This window comes from Homo sapiens, chromosome 15 (assembly GCF_000001405.40).
Source record: "Homo sapiens chromosome 15, GRCh38.p14 Primary Assembly".
Lineage (NCBI taxonomy): Eukaryota > Metazoa > Chordata > Mammalia > Primates > Hominidae > Homo > Homo sapiens.
The window spans coordinates 83,907,198-83,931,614 of NC_000015.10; the positions used below are offsets into that span (position 1 = coordinate 83,907,198).

General features: G+C 39.0%; 1 protein-coding gene across 12 annotated transcripts in view, besides 3 other annotated features; it reads left to right on the plus strand.

Moving 5' to 3' along the window:
• ADAMTSL3 (ADAMTS like 3) overlaps positions 1-24,417 on the plus strand; it is a 385,720-nt gene that overhangs the window by 253,075 nt on the left and 108,228 nt on the right. For all 12 annotated transcript variants that reach the window (XM_011521823.3, XM_017022434.2, XM_011521822.3 and 9 more), the window contains 2 exons: positions 5,895-6,181; positions 16,707-16,836. In XM_011521823.3, coding sequence (XP_011520125.1) covers positions 5,895-6,181; positions 16,707-16,836 — 417 coding nt within the window. The remainder of the gene's footprint in view (positions 1-5,894; positions 6,182-16,706; positions 16,837-24,417) is intronic.
• Positions 12,326-12,375: an enhancer, noted in NCBI's record as "active region_9976". NCBI's record gives its function as "activates an Ori minimal core promoter by ATAC-STARR-seq in GM12878 lymphoblastoid cells {active_cell/tissue: GM12878}" and the evidence as "EXISTENCE:reporter gene assay evidence [ECO:0000049][PMID:35858748]".
• Positions 20,972-21,141: an enhancer, noted in NCBI's record as "active region_9977". NCBI's record gives its function as "activates an Ori minimal core promoter by ATAC-STARR-seq in GM12878 lymphoblastoid cells {active_cell/tissue: GM12878}" and the evidence as "EXISTENCE:reporter gene assay evidence [ECO:0000049][PMID:35858748]".
• Positions 21,162-21,361: an enhancer, noted in NCBI's record as "active region_9978". NCBI's record gives its function as "activates an Ori minimal core promoter by ATAC-STARR-seq in GM12878 lymphoblastoid cells {active_cell/tissue: GM12878}" and the evidence as "EXISTENCE:reporter gene assay evidence [ECO:0000049][PMID:35858748]".

A 24,417-nucleotide genomic window follows, 5' to 3' on the forward strand; every position in this document is an offset into this window, starting at 1 on the left:
TGTTTCCTTGTTTCTGATGTTTTCCTACATGAGCTATATGAACTTGATTTGTTTTCTATAATAGCAGGAGATTTGTCTACTATAATTTCATTTTTTTAACACACTCAAACCTATATAATTTTTATCATAAACATCTAGAATGGTGCCATTTCTGCTGATTTCTCCAGGTTTAAAATGAATAAATTGGCATTGTTTTGTTGTTGTTGTTGATGATTTTTCACTTTGAGACGGAGTCTCGCTCTGTCACCCAGGCTGGAGTGCAGTGATGTGATCTCAGCTCACTTCAACACCACCTCCCGGCTTCAAGCAATTCTGCCTCAGCCTCCCTAGTAGCTAGAACTGCAGGCATGCACCACCATACCTGGCTAATTTTTTTTTGTATTTTTAGTAGAGACAGCGTTTCACCATGTTGGCCAGGCTGGTCTCAAACTCCTGACCTCAAGTGATCTGCCCACCTTGGCCTCCCAAAGTGCTGGGATTACAGGTGTGAGCCACCACACCCTGCCAGATTTCATTCTTTTTAATGGCTGAATAGTATTCCATTGTGTATATAGGCTATATTTTCTTTATCCATTTATCTGTAGGTGAGAACTTAGGTTGATTTCATATCTTTACTGTTGTGAATAGTGCTTTGATAAACATACAAATGCAGATATATTTTTGATATAATGATTTATTTTCCTATGAGTAAATAGCCAGTAGTGGAATTGCTGGATCAAACGGCAGTTTTATTTTTAAGTCTTTGAGAAATCTCCATGGAGGTTGTCCTAATTTACCTTCCTACTGACAGTGTTTAAGTGTCCCAAGATATGTTTTTCTTTCACTAATACATGCTGCCTTCTTCTCTTGTGCTGAAGAATGATTTTAGCAGTTGGATATTTGTGCTTTGTTTTCTTATTCTGGAATTAGAAAAATAAATTATCTAAAAGAGCATTGTCAAATTGTCTTTGGATTCATATGCTGTCATCCTGGATGATGTTTAAGTGCTTCTGTATCCTCTGATACAGATGAGGCCGTGTACAATAATGCTAGCAGCTGTTGTATACCCTTTGGTTACTTGTCTGTACCTCAGTTTTCTCATCTGTAAAGTGGGCATAATAATATTTCCTGATACGGTTGTTGTTATAAGAAAATGATAGAATTTGTTTGAAGCACTGAAGACAGTGTCTCACAGGAATAAGAATGCAATGAATGTCTGATGTTACTTTTTTATTTTATTGTACTTATTGAGCTTTTAACTCAGACATCATTACATTTAATTCTCACCCAATACCATTAGGTAGGTAATATTATTGTTCTTATTTTACAGAAAATTATTACCTTTGTATTTGAATAACAGTTTTACTGGACATAATATTCATAGGACTCTGATTCTGTCTCTCTCTCAAAACTCTTACTCTATCTTTTCCTGGTTTTGAATGTTGTGTGCATCTGAGGTACCCCTGTCTTTATGTTCCTATAGGAGACTTGCTTTTTGTGCCTAGACACCTAGACAATTCTTTCTTCATGCTCAAAGTTTTGTTAGCCAGGTGTATTCATTTTCCATAGCTGCTAATACCACAAACTTAGCGGTGTAAAACAACACAAATGTATTATCCCACAGTTGAGTGGGTCAGAAGCCCAGTAGATTCAGCTGATGTCTCTGTTCCAGTTACTAGTAGGCCAGGATCAAGGTGTCTGTCAGTCTGAAGTCTTCTTTGGCAAGAGTCTGCTTCCAGGCTCATTTGAATAATTGGCAGAATTCAGTTCCATGCATTTGTAGAACTGAGATCTTCATTTCCTTGCTGACTGTGGGCTGAGAGATTGTTTTCAATTTCTAGAGGCCACCTGCATTCCTTGGCTGATGGTCTCATCCATCTTTGAGCCAGCAACAGTGGGTAAATTCCTGTTACACTTCAAATCCCTCTCGCTTATTAGTCTACTTACATTTCTGACTCTAGCCAGAGTGATATCCTTGTTTTTAAGGATGTCTGTGATTAGATTAAGCCCACCAAAGTAATCTGGGATTATCTTCCCATCTCGAGGTCACACCTGTAAAGTCCCTTTTGCTGTGTATGGTAATGTATTCACACATTCTGGGGATTAGGGCATGGGAGTACTTGCAGGGGTGAGGAGCCATTATTCTGCCTACAATTCTAGGTTTTTATGTTCATCATTTTTATTACTTTTTCCTGGAAGACAGTGTACCTTTTCAGGATGTATTTCAGTCACTTTTTTCATATTTTATTTCTGAGCAGCTTTTCTGTTTCATGCGTTGGAATCTCTACATGAAGAATCCAGTTATCTTCAATATTGGATTACCTAGGTTCTCTTTAACTTAGTCCCTTAAAATTGTGCTTCAGAAAATCAATTTTATAGAGATGTAGTTTACATACAATAAACTGTGTCTATTTAAAGTGCACCATCAATGAGTGGTTTTTTTTCTTTCTTTTTTTGAGGTGGAGTCTCACTGTGTTGCCCAGGCTGGAGTGCAGTGGTGTGATCTCAGCTCACTGCAACCTCTGCCTTCTGGGTTCAAGTGATTCTCCTGCCTCAGCCTCCCGAGTAGCTGGGATTACAGGCATGCACCACCATGCCTGGCTAATTTTTTGTATTTTTAGTAGAGACGGAATCTCAGCATGTTGGCCAGCCTAGTCTTGAACTCCTGACCTCAGGTTATCCACCCACCTCGGCCTCCCAAAGTGCTGGGATTATAGGCATGAGCCACCACGCCCGCTGATGGGTTTTGACAGATGTATGTACCCCTCAAACCCCAGTCCCACTCAAGATCCAGAACATTTCCATCCCTACAAAAGTTTTCTTTGCAGCTTCTCTTTCTCTCTCTCTCAACACTGCATTCACTTCCAAGTCTGGCCTCTGTGTCATTAATTTGATCTTCAGCCATGTTTCTTCTGTTTTTTCCTAGTTATGAATTGTTAGACTTGTGACAATAGTGTTATTATGTTTCACAGTTGGTTTCCATTTTCCCTTTTACTCTGTTGTTTTATCATCTCATCTCGAAACTCTCACATCAGTGAAATGATATTCTTTTTAAGTTCTTCCATGTGCAAAGACGTAGGTAACACAGCCTGTTCCTCTGGTTGTGTTTTGCCCAGACATGGCTCTTTCAATGTATTCCTTTCTTTCTTTAAAAAAAAAAAAATTGGTGAGGGGAGACAAGATTCAGAATTGTATGAACACTATAATATCTTTAATTTAAATAAAAAATAATACATAGAAGGAAATCATGCTGGATTCTGTGTAATTATTTTTTAGTTGCCGTGGGTTTTTTTTTTTTTTTAACCTTTAAGTCACTTCTTGTTACTTTGGACAGAACTAACATTTACTTTTTAACAGGACTTTTAAAAAGATCGTTGAAAACCAACTTGAAATATACAGAAAAACTAGGAGGACATTGAGTATAACCATTATTTGCCCTGCTGGGAGTTTAGGTGAACCTTTTTTTTTTTTTTTTTGAGATGGAGTCTCACTCTGTTACCCAGGCTGGAGTGCAGTGGCACAATCTTGGCTCACTGCAACCTCCACCTCCTTGGTTCAGGCGATTCTCCTGCCTCAGCCTCCCAAGTAGCTGGGATTACAGGCATGCACCACCATGACTGGCTAATTTTTTTTTTTTTTTTTAAGTAGAGACGGAGTTTCGCCATGTTGGCCAGGCTAGTCTCGAACTCCTGACCTCAGGTGATTCGCCCGCCTCAGCCTCCCAAAGTGCTGGGATTACCGGCGTGAGCCACCACGCCTGGCCAAGGTGAACTTTCTTACCTCATCTCCTCTCGAGATTCTCAATCACCAAGATACAGAAGTCCAATTTGAATGAAAATATCTACTTCCCATTAAAACAAAATCCCAATTTTTAATTTTTTATTACCAAGGAGAAAAGAGAGAAAAAATTAATGACCATAAGGTAAAATATGCACATGCTTAGAAACTTTAAACCTTTTAAAAATATAAAGTAAAAACCTCCCTCTTTACACACTCTAGTTCCTGACACTTTCAATTGCTTCCAGAAGAGAGAAATTATACATAAACCAGCATACATACAAACATGCTACATATGGGGCAGTTCATGTACTACGATCTCTTTTTTCTAAAATCAAAAAATAGTATATAGGTATATATAGATAGTGTATGTTATAGACTGTGTGTATGTAGCATATATGTATAATGTATTTATTTCATTTAACAGTCTTCAAGAGAAGACTGTTATCAGTTCATACCTAAACCTATGTCCTTTTAAATGACTACATATTATTACACTGTCGGGATTTCTCGTCTTTAACCAGTCTCCTTCCCAATTCTACCATGAGAGTAGCAGAGAAAGAAAAGACACATCAAATATTAACTCCAGCATTGCCCCATCCTGGGGAGTTGAGCAAGCCCTCACATGGAATCTGAGAATTAGAGAGAAGGGTTCCCCACTAACAATTTTCAACACAATGAACAACATGTTTTGTGTTGATTGATGTTTCTTTGCAGGACACGTATATAGTAATGGCATTTCATTCTGCTGATTGGGGGTGTGCTTTTTTGGACAACTATATTTAAGTCTTGCCTGGGGAAAGAAGGTTGGATGACTCTGTGAGAACCTTACAACCCTGTCTTTCTGAGGTTAGAAATATTAAGCTTTGGAACTGCATCTTAAACAAACATCTTAGCAGTGTTTTCTGAAGTCATTTAGTAGAACATAATCCCACGGACAAGGGTCTATATTCACTTAAGTTTATGAAATGATGCACGTAATATTTCTCTCTTAAGCATTTGTAGTTTGCATTTATATTTCATAGTCTTTGGAAAAGTTTTGCAGTGAATAAATCTGTTGAACATTATCGAGCCCTGAGTTTTCAAAACTTATTCTATTACTGAACTCTTTCTCCTCTATCACTTATTAATATCTCAAGATACAAAGTGTTTTTTCAGAGTATCTTAAATATATCTGTCCCTACGGAATCTGGTTTTCAAAATTCTGTGCAGGGGTCCAGTAAAGGACCAGATAGTAAATGTTTTAGGCATTGTAGGCCAAATGGTTTCTATTGCAAATATTCAGTTCTGTTGTAGCACAAAAGCCATAGACAATAGGTGGAAAAATGAGTGTGGTTATATTCCAGTAAAACTTTAGTTATGCACGGTAAAATTTAATTTTATGTAATTTTCACATGTCACAAAATATCTTTTTTTCTGCCAACCATTTAAAAACATAAAAATGATTCTCAGCTGGTAGGTTGTACCAAAGATAGGTGGGCCAGATTTGACCTGCTAGTCATAGTTTGATGACCTTTGATTTAGTAGATAATAATCCGGAATAAGAATTAAATGCTTTGTTCAGCAAGATTGTGCAATATTTCTTTTGTTTTGAAGAAGATCCAGAAGCTTCGTGCACTTGTGTATTAAACATAAAAGAATATTAAGGCTTCATCCACTCTGTAGAAAGTATTTAAGATACCCTAAAATTTAGCTCCTAAACTTGAGACAGTTTAATACTACTCTGCCCATTACAGAGGATAAGCTCAATACTAATTTACTGAATAAATATTGGTGAAAATCTCCATATTATAAAATAAATTAGATTAGAAATGATCTCCATATGATGGTTTATTTATTACTAAATCTTAAAGAAAACCTTTATAATTTTGCAAAGGCCATAGCACAGATTCGAATTATGAAATGGATGTAAAAGTAGAATATAGTTTAGTGAATTACTCTTTCTGTTGCTAGTAAGATTTGAATGTTTGTTAACTGCATTACTGACCATCAACAAAAGTATAAAATTCCAAATGTGTGGAATTCCACCGAGTGAAGCTGGTTATTTTTGCCTTCGTTGAATGTGTCACTCCTCCTTTTCTGGCCTATATTTAATGACCCTCAGTGTCCTTTTCTGGTGGCTTCCTGGTTTTCCCTAGGTTCATTCCAGAACCCTGGTCAGCCTGCAGTACCACGTGTGGGCCGGGTGTGCAGGTCCGTGAGGTGAAGTGCCGTGTGCTCCTCACATTCACGCAGACTGAGACTGAGCTGCCCGAGGAAGAGTGTGAAGGCCCCAAGCTGCCCACCGAACGGCCCTGCCTCCTGGAAGCATGTGATGAGAGCCCGGCCTCCCGAGAGCTAGACATCCCTCTCCCTGAGGACAGTGAGACGACTTACGACTGGGAGTACGCTGGGTTCACCCCTTGCACAGCAACATGCGTGGGAGGTATTTGAACCTTTGCTTAAGGGACAGTTATGTTGTGTGTTGCTAGTGGTTTGAGAAATTACTCAATCAGGTAAGCCAAATATGCAAATTAGCAAAAGTCTAAAGGAGGTGAAGTCATTCAAATAACTGAAAATGATACTTTTTCTTCTTTTTCTTTCTTTTTTTTTTGTAGTGATTATTTTAGAAAGGAGAGTGGGACTATATACTAACCAAAAAAAGTATATTTGTTTGCCTGAGAATCTGCATGACTGAGATGGTTCATATGAAATAAATAGGAAAATGCAGAATGGATAAGTTAAGGCAATCTTGTTCATAAAGCAGTCTTATAGATTGAGGTAGCCTGGAATTGCAATATCTGATGCAACTCTAGATCAGAGTTTGTCCTCAGAAAATATTTGGGTTCATATCCGCACATTGGGCCAGCACCTAGGGGAACAAACTAATCACCATGATTTATGTTTGTGTACATAGAGGGTGACATACACAGCCAGGAAACCCTGTTAGGATTAGAAAGTGGTTGTATAGCCAGGTGACCCCTTTGGGGTGAGAAGTTGGCCCCCTGATGATTTATACAATCTAGGATCCAAAAGGGAGTGAAGGAGTGGTTAACAGGAGTCCAGAGAGCCACTCTTGAGGGCTCTGTTGAAAGTAAAAAGATAGAAATAACAAATAAGAAAACTATATCTTTTACTTACATGAAGGAGACTGGGTCTGACCAGGAATCCAGAGCCCCTGTCACCCCGTCCCCTCATCCTTTGACCCCTGACTGTGCCTTCCAGCCAGCTGCTATGTAAAGAGCTTGGTGCCTGAATGTGCTCTGCTCTTGATCCAGCCAATGGTGGGAAAAACACAAGGAGATGCTGTCTTAGAGCTCTTGGCTCAAGATCATGCTTTACTCCTCCCAACAGTCTTGAGCCCATTACTTGAAACTCCCTATCAAGTTGTGGAGCTCATGGCCCATTCATTGTGCCTGAACCCCTCACTCTTGAGCCTGAATTCTCAATCCTTATCATTCAGTCTCTATGGCTTGATTGTATCTGTTTTTCTCTTTCCTGTCTAATTCAACTTCTATACCTGCGTATCCTTGCCACTTTTTGTATAACATTGCTAGCCTGGCAGTAAACCCGGCTAAAGTGGCATGTGCCTTACCCCCAGGCTGCCCCTAAACTACTGCCTTGCGGACAGAGTTGCACATGTGGACTTTAGGTGCCTTAGCTGCCTCTGGACTCTTTCTCCCCTTACTTGCTTCTGTCTGGTTGCTAAAAGTCCATGCCATCTAGCTAGGAATTTAGCCTCTCTGGTTTAGTTGAACCTTAAACATCTGCTGCATCTCTTCCCTCCACAGCACATTGTCTGGGTTGCCCCCCACACTGCCTTGTGTCTGTTCTTGCCCAAGCCAAACTCCTGCCTGCTCTTGAGTTCAGAACCCTGGACACGTTTTTGTTTGTTTGTTGTTTTTTGTTTGTTTGGTTTTGTTTGTTTGTTTGTTTGTTTGTTTTTTGTTTTTTGTGGGTTTTTTTATGTCTTGGAAACCTTAACTCTAACATGCCCTTGGCAATTTGGGAACTGGTGCTTTCTCTTGATGAGTTTGGGGAAACCCTCTAGAGATAGCCACGGAGATGCAAAGATGGTCCCCTATTCAGTCACAATAATACATGCCTGGAACTTCCTACTGTATGTCTACAAAATGCCAGCTGTCTCCATTGCTTCTGAGTCACCACATTGCTGCAGTCTCACTAGAGACTTGGAGCTGTGTCTTTCATTAGGAGAGCAGAAGCAAGCCCAGCTGTTGCTTGCACACCCCAACATCTACCTTGTAATCTCAAGCTTTTAGGTGCTGTTGGTAGAATCCCTGTTTCATCTTCTTCTCCTGACTGGCAAGATCCCCTCAAGTTGGGAAAGCATAGCATGCTGGGTACTTGGAACTCAGCAGACCAATCAGAGTTGCTCAAAGAGAGATGACCAGGTGAATTCTAATTCAGCTGAGAGAGACTGCTGTCAGAGCTCATTTTTGGAGCCTTTTACTAAAATACTAGAATCTACCTTGTGTTCTCAGTACCCACTGAGATGGCCCTAGATTCCACCTCTAGGATGGCTGAACTCATGTGATAAATTCCTCTTTTGTTTTTTTTCAGTAACAGCTTTATCGAGATAGAATGCGCACACTGTACAATTTATGCATTTAAAGTATACAATGTAGTGGTTTCTAGTTACAAAGTTGTGCAGCCGTTAACATAATCAATTTCAGAACACTTGCCCAAAGAAACACTGTGTCCTTAAGCAATCATACCCCATTTTCCCTCAAATTCTAACCCCTGGAAACCACTACTGTCTATTATGGACGTTGCATGTAATGGGATTATGTAATATGTGGTCCTCTGTGACTGCGATCTTTCACTTAGCGTAGTGTTTTCAAGGTTCATCTGTGTTTTAGCATGTTTCAGTACTTCATTCCTTTTTATGGCCAAGTGGTATTCCATTATATGGATATACAACATTTTACCCATTCATCGGCTGATAGAAATTTGAGTTGTTTGCATGTTTAGGGTATTGAGAATAGTGCTGCTGTGAACGTTCATGTATATGATTTTATATGGACATATGTTTTTATTTATCTTGGTTATATACCTTGGAGTAGATAGAATTACCTTTGAATCCATTTAAAACATACAAGTTTTTTGACACTTGACTAATTGAGGTTGATTATCCTTAGTGGCACTGCGCACCTTTTGCCCTGCTATGAGAAGAGAAACTGCCTTGCATCTGTCAGAAATGCAATGCAGTATTCAGGTGGGTGATGTTAAGGTGCCCATTTGCTTTATGATATACTCTTGTGTATCAGGAACACATTTTACAAATTTTAGAAAAGCTCAAGTTGGTAGCCTTTTACTACTCAGGTAAGCAGCAATTTAGCCTTATAAGGGTATATTTTATCATTTAATCCTGTAATAATATTATTGAAATGAGCCTTGGACACCTACTAACCCAAATTTTATAGTTGAGGAAGCTGAGACTCAGAGTCCATCATAAAGCCAAAAATAGAAAATGAATAACTTGATTCTCATTACTTAGCTGAACTATAAGTACATGTAATAAGCTTCTTAGCTTTACAAAAAGTAATATTTTTAATTTCTTGGGTTAAAAAGTAAATTTTTAATTTCTTGGGTTAAAAAAGTTATTTTTAATTAACTTGAGATTAAAGTTCCTTATAATAAATAACCAAAGCCTATGAAACTGAAGAGCTAAGGCAAAAACCAAAATCCTTTATAAAGGCTGGGATGGAAATTGTGGGTGAGGTGACTCATGCCTGTAATTCCAGACCTTTGGGAGGCTGAGGCAGGAGGATCTCTTGAGGCCAGGAGTTGGAGATCAATCTGGGCAACATAGCAAGACCCAGTCTTTAGAAAAAAAATAAAATAAAGGCTGGAAATTGGGTACCTGCTCTGTGTTAGACTCCATGGTTCTTCACCAAGTTCTGCACTAAATCTTCAGGGATATAAAATAAATAGAACATATTCTTTGCCTTGATGGAGCACAGCTTTTGGTTGTTTTGGTTTGACTGTCCCAACCACACTGCTTATAGTCAGTGGTACTTGCCTCTGTGATCTATTTCAACGTGGTTCAGTAAGTTCAGCTTCCATAAGTCCACTAATGTGTGAGTTATGAATGTGGGCTTTTAGCCTTCACCCTGGATAGCAGAGAGGATAAGTCTGCAATGACTGACAACCACAATAAAATGAAATTTACACAGGCATATATTTATTTCTTCAACATTCTTATTTCTGCTGGAAAAGTAATATACAAATTACAAGTTTCTGAAAAGATAAATTTTGGTCACATTCTGATATTCTGTATACTTATATTTTCTAACCTATCTTCACATCATACAGGAAATAAGAATAAATCCATTTGTTGTAATTACTGATGCTTAAGATCCTTGCATAGGTCTCTTTTCACATTGGAGTAGCAACAGAGAATTCTTTTTTAATTCCTAAAAGCATGAAGAATCCAGACACCAATCTCCAGCTTCCAAAGTGTGTGTATGTATGTATGTATGTATGTATGTATGTATGTATGTATATGTATGTATGCATGTACTCATGCAGCAGTATCTGTGTGTGTAGATACATCATGTGTGTGCACACACATACTCATGTACATCCTGGAAGATATGCCTACCTTTTTAGTACCCTCTGGTAAGGTTTTATAATTTATTACATCATAAACATTCCTTACCGAAGTTCTTCTTTTATATTTTATATTGTTTGTTGTTTTTATGACCTCATTTTTTTACCTTTATGTTTTCCAACAACACAGGCTAGGAGTATATATATGGACATTTGAGACCTGACCCCTTTATGAACCCCAGCTCTGCAACTCTCTTTGTTTCATTTGTTTAAATTTGTAGAGTTGTGGTTTATTTTGCTAAAATGATAGGAGTCATACCTACCTCATTAGGCTTAATGAAATAATTAAATGTGATTATTAAATAAGGTGATGTTCAAAGAGTGTTTAATCACAGTGTGTGGTACACTGTATTAATAAATGTTAGTGGGATGACTATTTTATAATATAATAATAGAGCATTCCTCTTATATTGGAATGCTATTGATTATTTCTCTTTTTAAAAATCTGACTAAATTGTTGAACACCTTAATACTTCTAATCATTTTTCAGCTTATTTTTATGAGTTTTCTAAGTAAATGATCATCTGCTATTAATGGTGATTTTATCTTTCCCTTTCCAATAGTTATTTAAGTTTCACATTTTATTGGCTTGTCTAGAATTCCAGGAACAATTGTAAATAATGTGGATAATGCCAACCTTGTTTTGGTCCTGGCAGTAGTAGAAATCTCTTTATTGTTTCATTTTAAAACAATGTTCTACAAATATTTATTGTATGTTTCTATGTGCCAGGCACTGGCCTAGGTGATAGTGACTCAGTAGTTCCTAGCTTTGGAACTGAACTCTAATAGGAAAAATGCATTCATCACATAATCATACTCACACATATATAGAATTACCACTGGTTACAGCAATTGCAAAAGAAGTATATGGTGCTATGAAAAGGGGCATTTGACCTAATTACACTTGAATTTAAATCTAAAAGGTGAGGCATTAGCTAAACAAAAGGGGGTTTGGAGGGGGTGGCACACGGATAATTTCCAGCAGAAAGAGCATATGCAAAGGCCAGCAGAAGGGTGCATGGTACATTCCAGGAATGGAAGAAGCCAGGCACAGTTGGAGTACTGAGAATGAGACAGGGTTTAGTGTGGCATGCTGCTAGACAGGAAGGCAGAGGCCAGACAATTATGGCCTTACAGGCTATGTTGATTTGAGTCTATCCCAAGATCAATGGGAAGTCATTCAAGTAATTAAAGTGGGAGTTATGTGACCAAATTTTTATTTATTTCAAAAAGGTTAGTCCAGCTGTATTGTAGAGAATGGATTGGAAAGGATAAGGATGTTGTGAGAGCGATCACATAGGAAGCTATTGCCTATTCCAGACAAGAGCTTAGACCGGAATGGTGACCATGGTAGAGATGGAGTATGGTGGATGACTTTGAGAGACATGTAGGAGATAAAAGGATCTGTCAGTGGAGTGGGTAAGCAGGAGTGTGATGGCAAGTCTGAGTCCTAAGACTATTTTCTGAGCTGGTGAATGCTAAATGTTGGTGAGGGAACCCATGAGTTCATTTGTGAACATAATGCTTTTAAGATGCCTCTCGACTTCCAAGTGGAGATGCTAAGTAGTCAGTTGGATGTGTGAGTCTGAAGTGAAGAGGAGCGGTCTGAACTGGAATGGTACATTTATGCATCATCTGTGCATCCAAGGATTGAAGCCAGGGGCATGGACAAGAATTTTCAGGAGAATACCTATGAGGAGTGCAGAGGGTCTAGGACTTAAGTCTTGAGGAAATTCAACATTCAGTGTCTGGGTGGAGGACACTAAGCCGCAAAAGTCTATGAGAAGAGATCAGCGAGATATGATAAAAACAGAAGTCTGTGGTGTGGTGGAAACCAAGGTCAGCTGTGTTGCTTGCCATGCAGAGGCGGAGAGGTGAGGGTTCAGCACTGGTACTGGGTTCAGGAATGTGAAGCCACTGGGGACTTAAGGAAAGGTCATTTCAGTGGAGGAGCAGAGATGGAAACCAGATTTGAAAGGGTTGAGGAAAGAATGATAAGTGACAGAGTGGAGATGAATAGAGGGGATTTTTTTTGCAGCATAAATTGGCCATGTTAAAGAAAACAGAGGAGGAGATGACTAAGATGGCCTTGCGGGTTGAGGCAGATCTGTGTGGGTGTGGGTGAAGGGTGGTGTTAATGTCAGAGACCCTTGGGTACATTTAAAAGGCAACAAGAAAGCTCTAGAATGAAAGTGAAAGGCAAAGCAATAAGTTTTCTAAGAAGATTGAAGGGGGTGAAACTCCAAGCACAGTCGTGGAGATTGGTCTTAAATCATTGGAAGGGCAGCTTCTAATTGTAATAAGCAGGGAAAAGGCTAGTGAGGATATGAGAGTAGGTAGGTTTGTATGCTTATAAAAGGAAGTTCCCATCTGGTTGTTTCTGTGCTTTTGTGCATATGAATATTTGCTGAAAGTGATTGGTAGGTGAATGACAGATGTTTGAGGTAATGAGGTAATTTTATTATATACTGCTGATTATAATATGCTATTATTTAATTTAAGATATATATATGTATGTATGAATGATACTGATGCATGTAAATGCACTCTATTTTGCATAGTGGAGTACAAGAATTCCTTTCTACAAATGGTAACGTGGGAACAAAGATTGCATTGGCCCACTATGGGCTCATTTGAGCATACTCCCAATAGAGATGTGTTCCCGACATGGTACATTAGCAACTGCCGTTTTGTTTTCTCCAAATCCCTTCAAATCATGACAGGCCTCGAGCTGTAGTTTCTTCCAGCTCCTCTTGACATAATTGGTCACTTCCGCTCAGGCTCCAGTGGTTTATGATGCCCTTCCTAAGGCCAAATGGCTTTCAACAATCCTTAATCTTTAGCAGCTGTCTCCTCAATTGGTTCCTAAAAAGAACTCACCTATTTGAAGTGCTACAAAACTTGCATTTTAACACCAAACAGGATACCTTTGGATCCATAAAATATTATGCTTCACTCTTTTTCATTACTCGGGACTTTACAGTAGTACCCCTTCAGTCAAACTAGCTAACAGCAGAAAGAGAAAAAAATTAACTGTTCTTTCCAAATATGATCCTAGGCCTGTGTGTATGTGTGTATTTTGGAAACAAAGAACATCGTTATATATAATATAGCATTATACGTGCCCACACTGTATGAAGCAGACCTCTTTTTTCCTCGTATAGGTTTAGGTATCATCAGGTTTTGGTAGTTTTGTGAGATGAACTGGCATTTTCTATACCTTTAAATAATTTTAAATAGTTTATATCATAGAAATCATCTGTTTAAAATGTTTGAAAGTGCTAGTTCCTACAACTCTCTAAATCTTGTCCTGTTTTTGGGATTGAGGGGGAGCATCATGGCTCCATCTTTAACATTATTTTCAAGTTTCCCCCCACTTATTGTTATATTCAATCCAAGTTCTTATAATAATTTTTAAATAAATTACATAATTTAGATTCACTTGGGACAAAAACTATCCATTTCATGAGGATACTGAAATTTATTTTCTAGAGTTGTTCATCGAGTCTGAAGTGGCTGTAAGCCTCCCTGTTCTCCCTTTTCCTGCCACAAATAATGTGTAATCTATTTACTCTTTGGCCTAGGACTTTATACAAATTCTAGTGTGTGGAGTTGGGGAGTTCAATTGTTTATTATTCACTTATGTTGGACTATATTATAGTCCGAGAATGTTACCTGCATAATTTATGACTTTTGAAACTTACTGCAGTTTCCTAGACTAATAGAGGATCCGTTTTTGTTAATGTTCCACGGATGCTTCAAGAAAGCATAGTGTATCTATTTCTAGGGCCCAAGACTACTTGATTTTTAAAGCAACATAATTTTCTTACACAAATTATTTTTCCTTATTTATTTTACAACTTGGCATATTAAATACTGATTGGCACATAAAAGGCTCTGACTATGGATTTTAAAAAATCTCTCCTGGTATTCTTACACTATGTGTGTATGTGTGTGTTATGTTATTTGACATATTGAAGTAGTCAAGACTGTTGTTTGCAAATGGCAGAAACCCAACCAAGCAAAAAGAACATGTCAGCTTATATATTGGCTCTGCTGCTTCTCTTGGAGTCTGTGTTTTTACCCTTTAAATATTAATTTATTTCTTGATGAAGGATAAAAAATATGTATGTATTTTGAGACAGAGTCTTTCTCTGTGCCCAGGCTGGACTGCACTGGTACAATCATAGCTTGCTGCAGCCCCAGCCTCCTGGGCTGAAGTGATCCTCTCACCCCAGCCCCCCGAGTAGCTGGGACTATAGGCACACCCACCACACCCAGCTAATTTTTGTATTTTTTTTTTAGAGATGGGGTCTCACTATGTTGCCACAAGCTATATAGGTTTTTCTTTTTCTAAAAAAAAAGGCACTTTCATGATAACACTGCAAAAGTCATATGTGAAGTAAGGGATGTTGCCTCATGCTACAAAAGGAATTTATTCAAAAAATGATGCTGACGTTTCAACACTTGATGTATTATGTCCTAAATTCATAGTTGTAATTATTACCTAAATTTTGTTATAAGATGAGGTAAACTTATTTTTATAATTTTTCCTTTTTTAACTTTAATTTTTGAAAGTAAATGCTTAATCAGATCTTTTAAGGTGAGAAGTGTCTAAGTAACATTGTAGGACCAATGTATGGGATGGGAGATATTTTGTGGCCATTTTTCAAAATATACTCTACCTCAATAAGTATCCTAAACACCTATTAAACTTATAAATTATTTTCAGTAAACTTGCTTTAAGACAGAAAAGTGTGTCATGAGTGTTGTACAATTCCACCCAGAATGGGTTATAATGGGGCTTTAAGGCCCACTTATTCAGAAAATGTTCCAAAATAGTCTCTGTAATAAAAATTTCTAGAGAATTTCTGTTATAAATTAAAATATATTTGAAAGTTAACTGGATTTTTCTCAGATTTAAAAAAAATGAAACATACTAGAAAATGAACACTTAAACCTCTACAAGGTAACTACGTTTTGATATTTGCAAATAAAACCTAGAGTTATTAAGTTGTAGCAATGCCTTCTTATATCTCACGTTAGCCAATGTTTATTTTAAAAGTTCATAGAAGATACATGCAGATTTAATACTGCATCCTGCCATGGCAGGGAACATAAAATTACAACTGAAGACAGCAGGAGAAAATTTATTAGAAAGAACTGAACATCACAAATATATATTTTAGAAGTATTTTTGGCCAATACTACATCCTGTAAAATACTGTAAAATGGTTGAATTGAAACATGGCATTTGAAAAAAGAACCACAACCTAGTAACATAATGGAACACACATTCTTGCATGAAAATGAATGCATTTGCATATTTCAAATAACATAGTCAGTTGCTATTACAGTTTGTTTGTGACTTTTTAATCAAAAGTTTGATTTACATCTTGTTCCGTCTGATTTTCCAATAATTTTTTTTGTCCCAGCGGACAAAGAATACTGGTTGAGAACATAGGCTTTGGGGTCAGACAGACCTGTCTGGCCCCAAAGGGAAAATATGCTTGTGAAATTTCATATTTTCACAAGGAGCAGTCTTGTACTTTTTGGCTGTATTGCATTTTAGAATCCCTAGAGTATGTACAAAAGAAAGATCACTGAATTAGGAGGCAGGGAATTTAATTTTTAGGCTTGAATCTACCACATTTTTGCTGTCTTAGTTTCTCTCTAGACCTCAGTTTCCTTAGTATTAAATTAATAAAATGGAGGTAATAATACTATTCTTTTGACCTCACTGATTATTGTGAAAGCACTTTGTACACTTTCCAAATAGGAGGTATTGTTATTGTTTTTCCTAGCAATAGAAACGTTACAAATTACAGTCATAGTGAACAGGAACTCAAATCATAATTAAAATTTTGAGGAGTTGTGTGTCTGCCAGATTTAGCACATATGCAGTGATATAGAGAAAGTGTTATTCTTATGAAGCTGATTCAAAAATTCCTCTTAAGGAAACTATTGTGACTGTTTGGAAGGAACACCTTGATGGCTTATTTGGGGGAACTCCTAGCTTTGAGTACATTTGGAATGCAGATAAGTCCAAGGGTGGATGGGGAGTTGGGATGCTCTTGAATGTTTCAAGGTAAGTAGATTTGGGAGAGAGGGAGTAAAGGGACTGAATTTAAAAGGTGAATAAGGGAATATCATAAACTAGGAGACTTTGGATAATGCAAAGTTGTTTGTTCCCAGGTGTACCCTGAAATGCAGCCTGCAGCCCTATGATAGTCAAAAGGGCAGTATGCTAAGAATGAGAAGACCTAAGACTCTATTTTCTTTTTTCCACAATAAATTATTCCATGTCATTTGCATTTTTTCCTCTTTCTAACCTGCAGGCCATCAAGAAGCCATAGCAGTGTGCTTACATATCCAGACCCAGCAGACAGTCAATGACAGCTTGTGTGATATGGTCCACCGTCCTCCAGCCATGAGCCAGGCCTGTAACACAGAGCCCTGTCCCCCCAGGTATGTGCTGTCTTGTGTTCCTGGTATATACCGTGTCCGGGTGGTAACACCCTCCCTGCAGAGAAACCCACCTAAGTGCAGACTTGTGGCTTCACCCAAGGTAGATGTGCTAAGCCTGCTTCAGAGCTCTCTTTGCTCAAGTTATGCTCCAGCCAGATTCTTGCCTAGGTGCTCAGATGCAGCCATGTTGCACAGGAATGCTCTTCAGGCTGACTTTTGTTTGCATCGAACACGAATGAACATAAACTGGCCTGCTACCCATAAAACCATGAGATCAGTGGATTTGTTCTCTTTCTCCTCCCTGTTTCCTCCAGGGCACTTCTTCCCTTAATATCCCATCAGAAAGCACAGGATTTGCATTAGAGTTAACATTGGTACACAGTAGGTGCTTAATCCATATTTGTTGAGTGACTGTGTAATCTCCTGTTTGATATCTAGCACTCATACTGATGTGTTATTACCTTCCCATTGACTTGCCTTGGATCTCAGATTGTGGGGTATAATATTATAAACCCCAATGAGTAGGTGAGGGTGATCTTCTTGATCTCTTTGGCTGATAGGTTTACCTTAAAAGTTAATCTGCTTCCTTGCTTAAGTCCTGGTAAGATCCTGAGGAATTTTATCAGAAGAGAAGTAGCTTGTTCTCATGTTCCTGTGTCCCTGGTGCTGCTGGCTACAGAGGGTGATAACTGAACATCATTGGTTTCTCACACAAGACCTTTCTGAATATAGCCCCCAGTCTTTTCCTTTCTCTCTCCTTTACCCTTATTATCTTGTGACCCCTCTTCTGCGAGAAGAATTAGTTGCCGAAAATGTTAAGCCCATTCCCAGTAACCTCCTGCCTCTCCTACCTCTTAGTCGTTTGCCCCGCTAATGAAATCCTTTCATTTGCTAAAGCAAGTTCTGCTATGTTTAGGACTCTCAGTGATTGAGGGAGGTTATTGTGTCCTCCTGCCGTATTAGTCTAAGGATAAGTGTCTTTTATGTTTATTCAGAAAATAAGTTGTGCTTCTGGAATTCTCTTGACCCTTCTGATTTTAATTCCATGCAATCTGTTGGCTATGATGTTTCTCCTGCCTTGATTGCATAAGGGTGGTGAAGGTGGGGATTGATACGTTAGGTCCCCCTAGAAATCAGGCCCTCCACATCCTGGAGATGGGCACCCCTTCCTTGAGAGTCTTGTTCTCCAGCCCGCACAGTCTCAGGAGGAGGCCAGTGTGTGCCTCATCCTTGGTGAAATCACACCCGCCATGTAATGTAGGATACAGTGTTTTGTATCCATTACCATATTTCTCGCTTCCATTGAGACCTACAGAAGTACTGGGAGCTTGTTGGCTTATGTTAGAGCCATCTGGCTGTGCGTGGTTGAGGTGATGCAGTAGAGGCCTGTAGACTTACCTTGGTGAGCAAAGCAAGGCCCAGAAACAGCACTGGGAAATCTGTTTCCCTGCCACCTCCCACTCCCACCCCCAGGTTTACAGCATTCCAGAGTAATCCACGCTAGAATGCAGATTGCAGAAGAGACAATAAAGGAGGGGTTTTAGGAAGGTTTGATGTAACTAGGAGTCAAGACATCTACTTTGTCAAGTATGTCCAGACTTTTCCAAGAATAGCAAATATATTGGAGCAGTGTTGAATATATATTCACTTGGAATGACCCTTCTATCTTTAGAGAAATAGCACTTGTGTAATGGCACGTAGTAATCCGAATTATTTATCTATGTTTCTCAGTTTTTTCTGTTCTATTATTGGAACCACTGAATTAGATACTTTTGGAAAAGCTGGGGTTTCTGTTTTCCTCCCCTGCTACATCCCTTCCCTGAGGCAGTGAAGATGGAAACAGATGACCACCTTCCTGTACAGGAGCAAGGCACAGGGGAAAATACAGGGAGGGGGCAAAACATAGTTATATTTCTCAACATATTTCCCCATGACATTGGAATCATGTACTATATCATTTTGTAAACTGTTTTCTTAAATTTAATCTGGGGATGGGGCACGAGGTAGATGTTAAATAAACAGCGTCTCAAGAGCACGAATACTATGAGGACCTAAAATAAATTGGTGGGGCAGGGAAGCCGGGGAGGTTGGTGCAGGTCATTCCTGAGGAAGTTATTTAAGACATAAACACAGGCAGGAATCTGCCAGGAGAGGTGTAGAGGAATGAGTGCTCTGGGCAGAGGGAACAGTATGTGCAAAGGCCCCAAGGAAAGAAAGAGCTCAGTATGCTCAAGGAACTGGAGAGAAAGGAAATCAGTGTGTCATCAGATGAGATAGGAATGGGCAAGGGCCACGGTAAGCACTTGGACTTCATCCAGAGAGTCAGTGGGAAGTCATTGGAGGGTTTGAGCAATGAAGTGGTACATCAGATTTACATTTTAAAAAGATTACTCAAACACAGAAATGGGGAGAACAAAATGGAGACAATTAGATCAAGTATAAATCTTTTAAGAAAATTATTTAAAACTAGGGATCCAGCCCACCACAATTTCATTTGAGCATCCTCGATTTAAAGCCTGCCTCCATGTGAATCTGCAAATATCATCGTTTCCTTTTTATTGTTTATATGACACTAACAACTTTTTTTTTTTTTTTTTGAGACGGAGTTTCGCTCTTGTTGCCCAGGCTGGAGTGCAATGGCACAATCTTATGGCTCGCTGCAACTTCCACCTCCTGGGTTCAAGCGATTCTCCTGCCTCAGCCTCCTGAGTAGCTGGGGTCACAGGTGCCTGCCACCATGCCCAGATAATTTTTTGTATTTTTAGTAGAGATGGGGTTTCACCATGTTGGCTAGGCTGGTCTCAAACTCCTGACCTCAGGTGATCCACCTGCCTCGGCCTCCCAAAATGTTGGGATTACAGGCATAAGCCACCGCACCTGGCCACCAACAACATTCTTTATCAAAATAGTTGAATCCCTTTCTATATTTGTAGCCATGAATATCAGTTCACCTCTACTGTCTTTTCCAAAAATGCTCAGTGTCTCCTTCAGAAATACTGCTTTCCCAACCATGGCCCCCATGCTCCAGTATTTTGCAGAGCAGTTTTAAGAGTTCTACAATCCATAAATCCTTTTCTTTCTTTCTTTCTTTTTTTTTTTTTGAGACGGAGTCTCACTCTGTTGCCCAGGCTGGAGTGCAATGGCACAGTCTCGGCCCACTGCAGCCTCTGCCTCCTGGGTTCAAGTGATTCTCCTGCCTGAGCTTCCTGAGTAGCTGAGACTACAGGCATATGCCACCACACCCAGCTAATTTTTGTATTTTTCGTAGAGATGGGATTTTGCCATGTTGGCCAGGCCGATCTCAAACTGACCTCGAGTGATCCGCCCACCTCAGCCTCCCAAAGTGCTGGGATTACAGACGTGAGCCACCGCACCTGGCCCATGAATCCTTTTCTATGTACTGTTTTATTTAAAACAATGGATGAACCTGTTCACAACTTACACCTGCACTGTATCAGGTGTTTTGCTGTGCAACAATTTGAAAATCACTGCCCTAAGTCTCTTTTTGGTGAAAAGTAGCTAGTACTATTCTTATTAATGGCTTCACATTCTTTCAGAAATGTGCTAATAAATATATAATGAATAAAGGCTCTTGTTTTCTGTATATGAAAACTGAAATTTAGGATTTTTAGGTAATTGATGACTTCTCCATGAGCATACACTAAATAAATTGCATACTACAACATAAAGCCCAAACATGGAGTATTTCTCATGAGATGTCATCTAGTCCAAATTCTGCCTTTTCTGGATGGCCAAATGGAGGCTGTGGGAGCCCACATATTATGCTACTAGTAGAGCTGGTCTCCTGATTTCCAGTCCCTCCACTAGCCATCCCCTTTGTCTACTCTAGCCAGTACTCTCTTTCTAGAAAGATGACTAAAAAAAAATGGTTTCGAATTTACACAGACTTAAAATTGTGACTACAATTTGGCTGTGTGATTTTTTTTTTTTCTTTTTTTTGAGATAGGGTCTCTCTCTGTTGCTCAGGCTGGAGTGCAACGGTATGATCACAGTTCACTGCAGCCTTGAACTTCTGGGGTCAAGTGATCCTCCTGCCTCAGCCTCCCAAGTTGCTGGGATTACAGGAATGAGCCATGTGCATCACTAATTTTTAAAAATTTTTAAATGTTTTTAGAGATTAGGTTTTTCTCTGTCATCTAAGCTGGAGTGCAGTGGTGCAGTCATGGCTCACTACAGCCTTGACCTCCTGGGCTCAAGACATCCTCTCATCTCAACCTTCCAAGCCCCTAGGATTATAGGCATGAGTGACCACACCCAGCTAGCTATGATATATTGCTAGCCATTAACAAAGAAGAGTAAAAAGAAGAAAATACAACCCAATATGTTGGGGTATATTTTATTTCTAGATTTAAATCTTACTGCAGATTGACATGAAGCTAGTCTTCACCAGAGTTCTGTCCTGTTTCTAGCCAAGTAACAACTAAAACAGAGAAAACGAAAATGATAACAACATGAAAGGCACTTCAAATGAGAATGATTTGCATATCACAGGATGAAAAGAGAGGCCCTAAGAACACTGATGAAACTCTCAGTTTTATTTTTGTGAAAATAACTGTTCCACTCTTGCTCTGGAAGTGAAGGTAGCCATAATGTGTCATCATATAATTTTTTCAGAAAAGAAAGCCAAAATATGAAACAATTTACAATTCATTCTCTGCCATTCTAAGAATTAGTGCATAAAGTTGGCATTACAACCACAATTATGTTCAAGATAAGATAACTTGATTTTATAATTTTTAATTTAAATTTTCAAGACTAAATCAAACATTTTCCCCCACTTTATCATGAAACCTGAGTTTCTTTTTTGAGTGGAATCACATAAAGTGGCCTTTTATGGTTTTTGTTCTCTGATAATATGAACTTGAGATTCTTGACCATTTACTTTTCAGTACTTGATGAATTTGTCCTAATCATGTGTAACTGCCACTGCCTTAATTCAGATATGTTTTACCTGAACTGTTTCACAAGTTTCTAAATGAACTCTTGACTCTCCTGTTTCCTGCTCTGATCCATGTGCACACACGACTATGAAAGATCTTTATCTTTCTAAGTTGCAAAATGACTGTGTGTGCCTCTGCATGAAACCTTCAACAACACTCCTTTATCTATGGATTAAAACCCACATTCTCTACTTTGGCATGTGTTTCTTTTGCCGGGGCTGCCATAACAAAGCACCAGAAACAGAGTGGCTTAAAGAACAGAAATTTATCATCTCCCAGATCTGGAGACCAGAAGTCCAAAATTAAGGTGTCCGCGGCGTTGATTCTTTCTTAGAGCTGTGAGAGAGCCTTGGTTCCATGGCTTTCTCCTGGCAGGTAACCTCTGGCATTCTTTGGCTTGTGAATGGCATTGTCCCTGTGATTTCATATTGTTTTCCTTCTCTGTGTCTTTGTGTCCACACTTCTCCTTTTCATAAGGACATCACTTATATTGGAGTAGGGCCTACTCTAATGACCTCCTCTTGATCATCTGCAAAGAACTTATTTCCGAATAAGGTCACAGTCACAAGTACTGGGGGTTATAACTTCCACATCTTTTGTGGGAAGGCAATTCAACCTATAACAGCATATAAATGCCTTTGTGACCCTGGATCCAACTCTTAAACCACATCTCCTGTCACCTCTACCACACACACACACACACACAGAGAGAGACAGAGAGAGACAGAGAGACAGAGACAGACACACACACACACAGAGAGACAGAGAGAGACAGAGAGACAGAGACAGACACACACACACACACACACTCAGACTCACCCTAAGGAACTTGCTCAGCAGCCACAGTAAATTATGCACCATGACCCACACTCCTGCTCATTCATGCCATTTGGACCTTTGCACACACTATGCCCTCTGCCTCTTAGAGACCTTCGCTACTATGACATTAGTTAATTCTCTCCCATAAAAGTAATCATTGGCTCACTTCTCACTGGTAAAATGAAGTTCAACAGAATGTGAGATAGGATCCTTACCTGAGACACTTGATAGCAAGGAACTCTCAAAAGTCAAAAGAAAATTGGAAATGGATCAGGGACATGGGATAAAGCCTCAGTTCCACGTCTCTCAAGGAATTTCAGGTGAGTTCCTTAGCTCTCTGGACCCTGTTTCTTAATATGAATAATGAAGAAAGGTGTTGGACTTTATGATCACCGAGGTCCCCTAAGCTCCAGTCTTTCATTTTTGAGTAGTGCTTTCAGGTTGCATTTTTCACTCATGTCTTCAAATTATGTCTAGTCCTTTTGTAACAATCCTTATGTCCATACCTGAGTAGTGTGACGTGCTTGGGGTTTTAGTTCTAAGGATGACAGCCTTGGTTTGACCTGCCCAGGAGGTCAAGGCAGGGTTGAGTTTAGTCAGTGCTCTTCCATTGCCCACCAAACCAGAACAAGATTTAGCAACAAATCTAGAAATTGTTTCTTAAATTTACTGAAGAAAGCTTACTGGTTTATTCATGCATCAGCCTGTGTACTGTATCCCCTTTCTCTCATCACTGTGCCTCAGCAAGAGTTCTTACACATTCTCTTCCTCAGCAATCTCTTGCCCACAGAGCTTCCAAGCTAGGAATAATAGAGCAGACAACATGTCTTGGCCACTTTGCAAAATTAAGAGTCTGTTTTTATGTGAAAGGAAATACTATTCCTCATTTCAAAGTTGCAAATTTAATAAACTTTTCAAAGGTTGAGAGTTATATTGGAAAAAAACCAGCAGAGACAAAGATTTGATGCCAAAATAAAGGTAAGTTTACAAAAATGTTTTAGGTTCTAGAAACTAGTGGTGTAGGAATAACAGGAACAGTGTGTTGCATAATATTTTCCATACAAATATTTACTGACTCCAAGGGCAATAGCAGTAAAATATTACCCCAGGGTGAAACTTACCACTGAGATTGGGTTGAACAGCCAGTGGATCTTTATTTACCCAAAGGCAAATGTATTTGATGTATTAGCCTGGGCTCTCCAAGGTGGGGTGTTGGATGTTTATTTGCTTTTATGGGGTTACTCCCCCTGATCTATCCTATAACTGCTGAGTGCCTGCTATTTATGGAGTTTGCTTTTTCCAGGAGAGAGCCAGCAGCTTGTAGAAGCATGCTGGGTTACATAATGGTCCTGCTAGTCTGAGGAGAGCCTTCTTCTCTAACAGGATTCAACACTGCTAGGGAAGAAAGGAGGAAAGCAAGAGGCAATAGTGATGTGTTTCTGTACCAGCTTGTTACCTATTTCTTGATATAAAAAACAATTCTTTATTGAGTTCATTGTCTGTGAATAAGAAATTGTTGCCCATTTCTTAAATAAAAACAGCTCCATCTCCAGTTCCTTGTGACTATAATTGATTTATCTAGCTATACACTTGCTCAAAAGATGATCATCCTGAAGTCACATCAATAAACTTACAAATTTAAGCTGAATTGTTTTAATCATGAAACAGAAACCTTCTGATTATTTAGCTATGTAGTCCAATTGTCATCCAAATATGACCCATGTATCTACTTTCGGTGACTTCACTCACATTCAAAACTTCTGGAATTTAGATATTATCAATTATAGTCTAAGTAATTGAT